The sequence below is a fragment of the Homo sapiens genome, chromosome 5 (assembly GCF_000001405.40).
Source record: "Homo sapiens chromosome 5, GRCh38.p14 Primary Assembly".
In the NCBI taxonomy this organism is placed as follows: domain Eukaryota; kingdom Metazoa; phylum Chordata; class Mammalia; order Primates; family Hominidae; genus Homo; species Homo sapiens.
The window spans coordinates 8823522-8836139 of record NC_000005.10 but is presented as its reverse complement, the minus strand read 5'-3'; the positions used below and the strand labels follow the sequence as shown (position 1 = coordinate 8836139).

The 12618-nt window shown below is 38.6% G+C and overlaps 1 long non-coding RNA gene across 6 annotated transcripts in view, besides 1 other annotated feature; it reads left to right on the top strand.

The window, feature by feature from the left end:
* The window catches only part of LOC101929307 (uncharacterized), an 88088-nt gene that overhangs the window by 8352 nt on the left and 67118 nt on the right, over positions 1 to 12618 (top strand). For 4 of the 6 annotated variants that reach the window (XR_007058687.1, XR_925772.4, XR_007058685.1 and 1 more), the window contains exon 2: positions 717 to 774. This is a non-coding gene — a long non-coding RNA (uncharacterized LOC101929307). Of the gene's footprint in view, positions 1 to 716; positions 775 to 6698; positions 10103 to 12618 lie in introns of those variants that run through there. The other 2 variants (XR_007058686.1, XR_925773.3) reach the window with 1 other exon arrangement.
* Positions 6159 to 7358: an enhancer, noted in NCBI's record as "MED14-independent group 3 enhancer chr5:8828894-8830093 (GRCh37/hg19 assembly coordinates)". NCBI's record gives its function as "activates an origin of replication core promoter dependent on BRD2, BRD4, P300/CBP and CDK7 cofactors, and independent of MED14, by STARR-seq in HCT116 cells {active_cell/tissue: HCT116}" and the evidence as "EXISTENCE:reporter gene assay evidence [ECO:0000049][PMID:35650434]".

Below are 12618 nucleotides of genomic sequence, written 5' to 3'. Positions count from 1 at the left end.
GTAGACCACCAGGGCCGAGGTGCCTCACTCTTTCTCAGCATCACTAGGAGGTGCTCAGTGCAGAAATCTGCTGCACTCCAATGCAGTGTGGGTGCCAGAGTAGAGCCCTGGCCTCCAGGCCCTCTGACCAGCTCTTCATGAGTGGTGCAGGGTTGTGCATGGAGGAGAAGGCTGTGATCCCCAACCCTTGCAAAGGTTGATGAGCAGATGCATGACAATAGAATTGAGCATTAATTATCTTAGTTTCAAAAGACTGAATTACTACTGGAGACACCATCGTTACTGACCTTCGTGAGAAAAATATGTATTTAAAAATTCTGTTACAACACACAATATTTAGTTTGTAAAAAAACCATCTCTTATTGCCAGCATTGCTTCTGAAGCCCTGTGGTGACATCTGTTTTTTTTCGGAATGGAGGCTTGTGTCTCCTAGTTGACATTCTCTGCACGTACCTGACTTTGAGGGAGGACTTTGCACAGGTGCGTCCTCCCACATGTGTGTTCATTAGATGCACTTAATGGTCTATGTAAAAATTGTCATTTTAATGATCATACCATAAAGACATAACATTTATTTCAAGCTTACATTTTATCTTGTAAAATTTCTCTTGGTATTAATTCCTCAAGCAATTTTGTTCAGCTCCTATTGCTGTGCTGGGAACTAGGACTGTAATCTGGGTCCATAGTGAGAATAAACAGTCACTTTTTAATTTCAGGCAAGAAAACAGCATAGACTGGGCTCCCAAATACATCTACATGGATTTAATGGACACGGTAAGTAGTTCTGAAATTTAATATATCTTACTTCTCTATGTTTGGTACTTGGCAACACTTGTAGGGAAGCCTGTACATATTGCTCTAGGTGGATGGATGCTTTGTATTATTGTAAAGCAGCATTTAACATGGGTTTCTTTTTTTTTTTTTTTTTTTGAGACAGAGTCTCGCTTTGTTGCCCAGGCTGGAGTGCAGTGGCACAATCTCAGCTCACTGCACGCTCCACCTCCCGGGTTCACACCATTTTCCTGCCTCAGCCTCCCGAGTAGCTGGGACTACAGGCACCCGCCGCCACACCCGGCTAATTTTCGGTATTTTTAGTAGAGACGGTGTTTCACCATGTTAGCCAGGATGGTCTTGATCTCCTGACCTTGTGATCCGCCTACCTCGGCCTCCCAAAGTGCTGGGATTACAGGCATGAGCCACCACACCTGGCCTAACATGGGTTTCTCAAGCGTTGATTCTCTCACCCCTTGTAGCTATCTCTATGATTAACACAGGCAATGTTGGCAAGCATGTGGCGTCAATAATAGAGATGTAGCTGTTACAGTTTATGTGTGAGCCACAGTTATGTTTGTGTCTTCTTGTGTATTGGGGACATATCTTTTCCATGGCATGTTCTTTCTCCTGATCATTTGGTGCTGGTTAATCAATCCCAGATTGGTGAAAAACCTATAAAATGTAATTTAATATGAGGTGTTTTACAAGTCATTTCCTGCTTGTTAGAATAGTTTAAAAATATGCCTTTATTTATTTACTTATATTTTTAACATATATTTTTATTTTAATAGCTTTTGGTGTACAAGTGGTTTTTGGTTATATGGATGAATTATATAGTGATGATGTCTGAGATTGTAGTACACCCATCACCTGAGTGGTTTATGTTATACCCAGTATGTAGTTTTTTAATCCCTTAACCTCCTCCCACCCTTCCCTGTTCTGAGTCTCCAGTGTCCATTATACCACTCAGTGTGCCTTTGCGTATTCATGGCTTAGCTCATACTTACAAATGAGAACATATAGTATTTGGTTTTCCATTCCTGAGTTACTTCACTTACAATAATGGCCTCCCGCTCCATCCAAGTTGTTGCAAAATACCTTATGTTCTTTTTTATGGCTGAATGGCAGTATTCGATGGTGTATATATGCCACATTTTTTTTAGTCCACTCATTGGTTGATGGGCACTTAGCTTGGTTCCATATCTTTGCTATTGTGAATTGTGCTGTGATAAACATACACATGCAGCTATCCTTTTGATACAATGACTTCTTTCCCTTTGCGTAGATACCCAATAGTGAGATTGCTGGGTTGAATGGTGGATCTACCTTTAGTTTTATGAGAAATCTCCATACTGTTTCCTATAGAGGTTGTACTTTACATTCCCACCATTAGTGTATAAGCATTCCCCCTTAACCACATCCATGCCAACATCTATTGTTTTTTTATTTTTTAATAATGGTCATTCTGACTGGGTTAAGATGGTATCTCATTGTGGCTTTAATTTGCATTTTCATGATGCTTAATGATGTTGAGTATTTTTTTTCATATATTTGTTGAGTACTTGTATGTCCCCTTTTGGGAAATGTCTATTCATGTGATTTTCCACTTTTTGATGATACGATTTAGTTTTGTTTTCTTGCTGATTTGCTTGAGTTCCTTGTAGATTCTGGATATTAGTCTTTTGTCAGAGTTTGCAAATATTTTCTCCTGTTCCGTGGGGTGTCTATTTACTATGATGATTATTTCTTTTGCTGTGCAGAAGCTTCTTAGCTTAATTAGGTTCCATTTATTTATTTTTGTTTTGTTTGCATTTTTTTTGGATTTTAGTCATAAATTCTTTGCCTAGGGAAATATCCAGCAGTGTTTTTTTCTAGGTTTTCTTCTAGAATTTTATGGTTTCAGGTCTTAGATTTAAGCCTTTAATCTATTTTGAGTTGATTTTTTTTATATGGTGAGAGTTGGGGATCCAGTTTCATTCTTCTGCATGTGGCTATCCAGTTTCCCCAGCAGCATGAATTGAATAGGGTGTCCTTTCCCTAATTTATGTTTCTGTGTGCTTTGTCGAAGATTACTTGGTTGGAAGTATTTGGCTTTATTTCTGGGTCCTCTATTCCATTCTGTTAGGCAAATGTATCTACTTTTATGCCGGTATCAAACTATTTTGGTAACCATAGCCTCGTAGTATAATTTTAAGTTGAAGGATTTTTCAAGCTTCCAGATTTGTTCCTTTTGCTTAGGATTGCTTTGGCTATTTGGGCTCTTTGTTGATTTCATATGACTTTTAGAATTTTTTTTTCTAATTTCGTGAAAAATGATGTTGGTATTTTGATAGGAATTACATTGACTCTGTAGATTGGTTTTGGGCAGTATGGCATTTTCACAATACTGATTCTTCTAATCCAAGAGCAGGGGATGTAGTTGTATTTGTGTCATCTATGATTTCCTTCACAGATTTCTTTCATAGTACTTTATAATTCTTTTTGCAGAGATCTTTCACCTCTTTGGTTAAGTGTATTCTGAGGTATTTTAATTTTTGCAGCTATTGTGAAAGTAATTGAGTTCTTCATTTGATTTTCAGCTTGGTTGTTGTAGAGGTATAGCAGTGTTACCAATTTATATACACTTATTTTGTAACCTGAGACTTTACTGAATTCATTTATCAGATCTAAGAGTCTTTGGCAGGAGTTTTTAGGGTTTTCTAGGCACACGATTATGTAATTGGCAAACAAAGATAGTTTTATTACTTCTTTTCCAATTTGGATACTCTCTCTTTCTCTTGTCTGATTTTTCTGGCTATGACTTGAAGTACTATGTTGAATAGTAGTGAAAGTGGGCATCCTTGTCTTGTTCCATTTCTTAAGCAGAATGCTTTCAACTTTTCCCTATTCAATATGATGTTGGCTGTGGATTTGCCATATATTGCTTTTATGATTTTGAGGTATGTTCCTTCTATGCCTAGTTTATTGGAGGTTTTTATCATAAAGGTATGCTGAATTTTATCGAATGCATTTTCTGTGTCTATTGAGATGATCACGTAGTTATTTGTTTTAATTGTGTTTATGTGATGAATCATATTTATTGACTAATATATTTTAAACCATCCCTGAATCCTCAGGATAAAGCCCACTTGATCATGGAGAATTATCTTTTTGATGTGCTGTTGGATGTGGTTTGCTGGTATTTTTGCATCTATATTCATCAGGGATATTAGTCTGTAGTTTTCTTTTTTTGTTATGTCCTTTCCTGGCTTTGTTATCAAGATGAGAGTGGCTTCATAGAATGAGTTACAGAGGATTCCTTATTTCTCAATCTTTTGGAATACTTTCAGTATGATTGGTACCAATTCGTCTTTGAATTTCTAGTAAAATTTGGTTGTGAGTCTGTCTGGTCCTGGGCTTTTTTTAGCTGACAATATTTTTTATTACTGATTCAATCTCACTGCTTGCTATTGGTCTGTTCAGGATTTCTGTTTATTCCTGATTAAATGTAAGGGGGTTATATGTTTCCAGGAACTTACCCATTTCCTTTAGATTTTCTAGTTTGTGTATATAGAGGTGTTCATATCAGGCTCAAATAATCTTTTTTATGCCTGTGGTGTTGGTTGTACTGTCTTCATTTTCAGTTCTAATCAGGCTTACTTAAATCTTGTTTTTTCTTAGTTAATATAGCTAATAGTCTATCAATCTTTGTATCTTTTCAAATAACTACCTTCTGTGTCATTGTTCTTTTGTATTTTTTGTTTCCAGTTCATTTAGTTCTGCTCTGACCTTTGTTATTTCTTTTATTCTGCTAGCTTTCAGTTTGGTTTGTTCTTATTTCTCTACTTCCTTGAGTTATGACATTAGGTTTCCAACTTATGATCTTTCCGACTTTTTGATGTTGGCATTTAGCATTATACACTTTCCTTTTAGCACAATGACCTTCTTTGTCTTTTTTTTTTTTTTTTTACTGCTGTTGCCTTAAAGTCTGGTTTATCTAAGAATAGTTAATCCTGCTCACTTTTGGTTTCCATTTGTGTGGAATATCTTTTTCTACCCCTTAACTTCGAGTCTATAAGAATCGTTATGTGTTTGGTGAGTCTCTTGAAGACAGCAGACATTTGGTTTGTGATTATTTTTGTCCATTTTGCCAATCTGTATCTTTTAAGTTAGATCATTTATGTTCAACATTAATGTTGAGATGTGAGATACTGTTACAGTCATGATATCTATTGTTACCTAAATACTTTGTTTTCTTCATTGTGTCACTTTTTTATAAGTCCTGTGAGTTTTGTGCTTTCAAGAGGTTCTATTCTAGTGCATATTGAGCTTTTTTTCAAAATGTAGAACTCCTTTTAGCATTTGTTTTAGGGCTGGTCTGGTAATGTCAAATTCCCTCAGTATTTGCTTGTCTGAAAAAGACTTTATTTCCCCTACATTTATACAACTTAGTTTTGTTGGATACAAAATTCTTGACTGACAGTTACTCTGTTTATGTACGCTAAACATAGGACTCCAATCCCATCTGGTTTGTAAAGTTTGCTGTTCGTCTCATAAGTTTATCCTTATAGGTTATCTGATGCTTTTGTCTCACTGCACTTAGAATTATTTCCTTCATATTGACTTTAGATAGCTTCATGACTGTTTGCCATGGTGATGTCCTTTTTGCAATGAATCTTCCAGGAGTTCTTTGAGTTTCTTGTATTTGGATGTCTAAATTTCTAGCAAGGCCAGAAAAGTTTTCCTCAATTATTTTCTCACATAAAATTTCCAAGTTTTTGCTTTTTCTTCTCCCTCAGGAACATCAATGTTTCTTAGATTTGGCTGTTATATATAATCCCATATTTCTTTGAAACTTTGTTCATTTATTTGAAATCCTTTTTCTTTATTTTTGTCTGATTGGGTTAATTCAAATGTCATGTGTTCAAGCTCTGAAATTATTTTTTCTGCTTGATCTAGTCTGTTGTTAAAACTTTCCAACTGTATTTTCCTAAATGTGCCTTTCATTTCCAGAAGTTCTGATTGGCTTTGCTTTAAAACATCTATCCTTTAGATTTTTCAAATTCATATCCTGAATATGAATCATATTTTATTCACATTATAATTTCTTTATGGTGGCTTTCACCTTTATCTTGTACCTCCTTGAGTAACTAAATAATCAACATTTTGAATTCTCTATCTGATATTTCAAAGGTGTCATCTTGGTTTGGAGTCATTGCTATTCATTCATGATATTTTGGGGGTATTATAGAACCCTGTTTTTTTATATTGCCATAATTATTTTTCTTCTTTCTTTTCATTTGAGTGGACTATTTTTTCTAGTTATTTTTGAATTTATTTTTAATTCAACTGTTTTTGTTTAATTTCTTTTTTTTCTCCCTTGAAGATATGACTTTCATGAGTATACTTTATTGTAACCTAATTCAACTCTGGGTGCTTTTGGGGTGAAGATTATGTATGAGTTCCTTGGTGATAAAGAGTCTCTGTATGAGGGCTTATTCAGATGCTGGTTGTAATAACAATGTGGTTAGTGTGGGGCAGATTCACTGTCCTCTGTGGGGTTGAAATGGCAGAGGCCTCTTGAATCTTATCTTATTCCCCAGGGGTGTACATTTATTTATTTATTTTTTTCCCCAGTATTTTATTTGCTGTGTTGAACAGCTCAGGCTTCAGGCCAGTAAGAGAGGTGTCCATGGATAAAAAACATCAGTGGCTAAATCAGGTGGGTAAATGCAATACCCAATGGTGGGCAGAGGTCCCAGCCTTGACAGAGGCAGCTGGGGGAGCTCTCAATTGAAATACACTGAGATCTTTTCAGGGGGGATGTGTGGGAGCCAAGTCAGCTTCCTTTCCAGGCCAGCAGAAAAATGATCCACCTCTGAGTCACCCTCCTGACCCAGTGTTCCAGCTCTTCAACTGAGACAGGCATCTCTTTTTATCTGCAGGAATGTTGATGTTAGATGTAAAGCAGCACTGTGACTCAACCCCTTGTGCAACTCTGAACATGGAGGGGAGTCCTGTGAAGATGCACTGACCCTGAAGTGTTTCAGAAAGGCTGTCTATAGCTGTACCTAAGCCTTGATCATGTGAGAGAAGTCCTAGCTCTGTCTGCAGTGGTGGGCAAGGGGGACAAGAAGTCACCTTCTCCAAGACCCTTTTCAAGCACCAGGGTTGCCTGACTGTTGAATTAGGGCCATAGACTTTCCACACTGAGCCCAGCACTGCACTTGTGCCTCTGCTGAAAGATGCTTTCCATAGCAGAAAGTTCTGGGACTCAAGTCCTGCTGTCTGTATTTTTTTGTCCCTTGATGTGGTGTACTCCCCCTTCCCCTAGGAGTAGGAATCCCTGAAGAACAGACTACTGTGAATGCCACTGCTTCTCTGGGTCCAGCTTCCCCATGGGGTGAATGCAACACTCCAGGCTGGTGCTGGGGAATGCTTGCAAGTGATCCAGTGATGTGACCTGTCCTCAAGTCTCCCAGCAGTGGGAACAAGCACCAGCTCTTATGGGGTGACAGGGGAGTAACATAGACTCTGTAAGATTCCTTGGTTATAAACAGCCTTATTGTGTTGGCTTTCTCAAATGCCAGGAAGTCTCAAATGCCAGTAGTAATGAACTGGTCACATGGACAGACATAGGACCTCCTGGTTAGCCAGGATGATGCAGGCAGTGGTGATAGTTGAGGACACGCATAAGTTTTCTTCTTCCTAGGCACTTTGTTATCCAGGTCTCTCCCACAACACGTGGAAATTCAAGATGAGATTTGGATGAGGATACAGCCAAACCATATCACTCACCTAGCTCCCATACACTTGGCAAAGCAGGTCTCACAATCTCAATGTTTCTCTAGCAGCAGCTAGCTATGTTCCAGGCAGTTTGCACTCAGAACTCAAAACTTCCCCAGGCCATATGCCTTCCCCTGGAAGACCGAATCCTTGGCTTTTAGGCCATGCCTTTTCTGCTCAGCCAGCCAAGCAGGGACATTCAGCTCCAGTGCCCATGTTTACAGCCCACTTGCCACTTCCCCTTTGGTTCTGGATTATATCTAGAATCTCAATTGGGAGCTTCTTTTAACATGTGACCACCACCTGAGTTACCTGACAGACTTCCAAAACATCCCCTGTGAGGTTGGATCAGGAATGGCTTCCCTCCACATCCACTGGAGCCTGGGAGTGCATACAAAGAATATCCCAGTGCCGCTCCTTCTTACATGCTCCCACCACTCTCTAAATCAGCTCCAGTGCTGGGTAGGGTTAAGGACTTCCCCCATGGCCTGGATTGCCAGGTTCCCTGGTGGGAGTGTATAAAGGCAGTTTATCTCCCTCACAAACTCTGGGTACTTACAGTTTTCCAAATGGCTCACGGTTGGAGTCTGTTTTCTTTCAGTTTTTGTGTTAAGTTCCTTATTTGTGTTGCTTCTGCCTTCTACTTCCCAGGCTGGGAGCAGCTATGTGTCTTGCAGAACAGTTCTCTGCTAGCTCTGATTCGCTCCAAACCTCATCTGCTAGTGTTCTTTCTGGCCTGATTCATCTCTGTTTAATATATAATGAAGTAGATTTAAGTGTTATCCTTAGGATGTGGTTCTCCCTTGAGGAAGGAGAATAGGGTCTGGAGGCAGGGAACATAAGGCCGATTCACGCTGATTTCCTAGAACTAAATCAAATGAAAACACTTCAGCAATGACAGGAAATATCCTCTCCATTTTCTTAGGGCATATGCCAAGTAAACGACTTTGTAACTTTACTTCATCCTCTTCCTTCACATAGGGTGTACACCAAGTAACCAACAGAAACCTCTAGAGGGTATTTAAACCCCAGAAAATTATGTAACCAGGTTCTTGAGCCCCTGTGCTTAGAACTGCTCACACCTGAGGAGTATACTTTCATTTTCAATAAATCTCTGCTTTTGTTGCTTCATTGTTTCCTTGCTTTGTTGGTGTATTTTGTTCAATTCTTTGTTCAAGATGCCAAAAACCTAGACACCTTCCACTGGAAACACCCTCACTCCCATTCTAATACTCTTTCTTCAGTGGGTAATAAAAGTTGGCTTCAGCATGCATGTGCTTGAGGGTATATACGTATATATGCTTTTCCAGATGGCAGAAAAGGCTGGGCTTTAATTAATTAATTAAAAACTTCACCAAATATCCACTGAAGACTTGTTATGCCACAGGACTAATGCTTGGTGCCAGGGAGACGGAGATTAAGGACTCAGTTCCTATGCACCAGCAGTTTTGCTGCTCGGAGGGGCAGACAGGCAAGACAATGAAGGCACAGAGGGGAGAGCAGAGCCTCACACAGGAGCACCCCCAACCTGCTCCACTGAGAGTCAGAAAACATGACTTGGAAGAAGTGAAACCCCTACTCCATCTTGGAAAATAAATAGGAATGAATGAGGCTTGATTTGGCTGGGGAGGGAGGAAAAAAGCCATTGGCTAGTGTGTGCCCAGACACCAAAGGATGCCTTGGTAGTGGTCTGGGAAGCAAAGGCTAACTGTACCCTGAAAATGGTGGGTGTAAAACCCTCCAAGATATGTATACCCGGGATAAGAGCTAGATTTCCATTCAGTCCCAAGCTTATTTTAGTAATCAGAATGCAGGAAGGCCACACCTACACATATTAATTCCTTTCCCTCAGCCGTCTGCCTCTAGGTACACATGAATAAACTTTTATTTCCTTTGAAGCAAAAGGATTTCTCTGACTTTTAAAGGGCAGAGCTTTCTGGGCCCTGGAGGGAATTCTGATGCATCTCCCAATCTTCTTTGTGTAGATACATGCCCATTTTATTTAGAACTCTCTTGGTAAATGGCCAGAATGAGAACTAGAACATCCAATTCCAACTATTTCCTTGGTGTAATTGCTTTTATGTGTGTCCTGGTGTTTGAGAGATTTTTCTAAAAGCCATTCTTAACAGTTGGAGAACCTGTTTTTGCCCATTGGGCAAAAACAGGAATGTCTGTTTTGTGCCATTTATAGGCTTTTGACAATTTAGTGTGCTGTGGAGGGTAACCACTTTGAGGATTAATAATTTAGATGGCCTTTTTTTTTGTAGGCTGAGGATTAGAAGATGTTTGTAGACAACTTAGTGTCTCTTCACACTTGGAACAGCTGATAACGAGTAATTCTTCCTGCTTTACTTGGGAGGTAGAAAACTAGAAATTTTTTAAAAAATGAGTTATAGGAGAGAAAAATAAGAAAGTTAGCCCATCAGAATGTACATGCTGTAAACCTGGTCTATTCTGACTTTCCTTGGTGGTTTTCAAATAAATTCCTCACTTGGATTCTGGAAGGAGATTCTATAGAGTGAGGTTGCAGTGCAGCAGGGAGCCCATTGACCCAGCCATAGACATTTTTGATCCCAGCTGGGCCCTGCTGCTAATTTACTGAGCGCATTCAGCACAAAACAAATAGTTTCTATGTTTGATTTGGAAAATGAAAAGTTTGTATCAGATAGTATCTAGGGTTCTCTTAGTTCCAAAATTGTGTGCTTTAAGTCATTGCCTTTTAACTGATTGCTTTTCTTTTTTCTCCAAATTTTTCTCTTTAAAATAAATGTCAGAATCTGTAATTCCCATGGGTAAAAATAGTAAGTAACAACAGCTCACTCATCCTGATGTCAGCTATTATTCTAAGCAAGTAAATACATTAACTCATTAATCCTCATGGTAACATGAGAAGGTGGATACTATTTATTGTGCCCATCTTAGAAATGACAAAACTGAGGCACCTTGTCAGTGAGTTGCCCAAGGTCACATGCAGAGATTACCAGAGACTTCAAACCCAAGAGTGGCTCTGGAGCCTGTATGGAGGCTCTGCAGTTTCACTTTCTATAGCACAGGGAGGAGATTATGGATGGGAAAGCGGCCAGTCTGATACATCAGGTTAGGACAGTCATTGTTGCTTTATAAGACACATCACAGTTTCTAACTTCCCTATCTATTTACTTATTTAGACAGTGGAGCCAGAGTTCCATAAGTACCAGTTGTCTGGTTTAGTGGCCCTGGGAGGTAGCACAGATCCAATACCCCTTAAGCCTCTGGTGAGTCATAAGGTGACTGAGTGAATGTCAGACAGCCAGGTGGTAAGGGGTCCCCAGAGAAACTCGAACCAGCCTGCACACTGGGAGGAATGCACACTGGGGTGGAGCCACAGAAGTTCATGCAATTTGCAGCAGGGAGTTGCCTGGAACCTTCTCTTCCTGTGTGGGACCTGGGATTCAAACTGCGAGGCGGGAAGCTCTAGAGGAACTCTGGCCTTGTGGAGAGTCCCTGTTTCCCCCCAATTTTTTTTTTTCCTTTTCACCCAATAAAACTCTGCTTTACACACCCTTCAAACCACCTGCGAGCCTAAACTTTCATGGCTATGGGACAAGGACCCCTGTTTAGCTGAACTAAAGAATATTCCTGCAACAAGCAGACAATAGAATTTGAGGAAGGCAGAGGTTTAACAGAGTTTTCTGGGCTTCATCCATCCTATCAATTTTGGTAAAGACCAGGATAAACGACTTACTTGTCAAGATTGACAATTTTTATCCTTTGAAAATTTTTATTTTGCCTCACTTTTGAGAAGTGGCATAAAATTACATATTTACAAAACAAGTAAATTTGTGAAAGTAATGGAGATTTATAAAACAATTGACTATAATTTCATTGATTGTAATTTAAAATGCTACCAAATAGAACAAATCAAGAGGTTGTGAGTTGCCATAAATTACCTTTGATTAAGTCCTTCTTACATCAGTTCCTTGAGAGAGTGAATATAACAGAGGTCTGGCCCAAGGCTGTGGGCTTTCACCTTCATTGCTTGTGGTGCTTATGGCCATTTATCTTGAGTGACAGGTGCGCTAGTCCCACACCAGACTGTTTTAGCATTCTAGTCAGCATTTTCCCAGCTTCCACAATACTAGTATTATAAATGCCATGTCTTCTGTGTGAGCTTGTAATTATGAAGACACCCCCAGAACAAGGTAAACAGTCTACAAAGGGGAATCATATAAGAATAGGATGGTGGTCTTATGTGAAATGTGTCTGCTAGATGGAAAATTGCTGAAATTGCATACCTATATGGATGTCCAGAATGTCTCAAGCTGAAATTCTAAATCATTCAGTATCATGTGGCTTAGACTATCTTTGATGGATCCAATTTTTTTTGTCCTCAAATAAAAATGTTTGACTAAAACAATGTAATCGTATCAAGGAACACATAATGGGGCATGCAAATGAAAAAATAGGCCACTCTTCTGATCCACTTGAATTATTATATTTTGTCTTATTTCATTGTGTATGTTAATATGAACTTCCTTAAGGTCTTTCTAAAGATAGATATTGTACGAGTCAACAAATCAAACAACAAGTAAACTGTAAGCCATGAGCAGCTAGGTGTATCCTGTTTGAATCTAAATTTTTGGTGCTACAAATCTATTTATATTAATGACTGAAGTATCAATATTGTCATGCTACCCTGAAGGGATAAACATATATAAGTAGAAAATATTTCAATTGGAACAGCATTAGCATTCAGCTCTGATTTACTAGTGAGGAAGAAAATCACACAGAATGAATTTTCTGAGTTTGTCCCCATGTTATACATAATAACTTATACAGAAGCATATATTATAATGCTAAAGATATATTTTGACATAGTAATATATAATTTTATGCAAAAATTTTCTTAATGAGAAAATGCTTTTATTCCAATGATTATCATTTTATGGTGTGTTTCCTTTAAGTGGTATTACTAAGACTTTATATCTTAAAACAAAATGGAAAGATTATTAAATGCAAATAATGATCTCGGATAAAAGTATTCGTAAATTTGAGTAACCTAAAATTCTAGTTACATTGTGCATTGCATATTAAATTGCA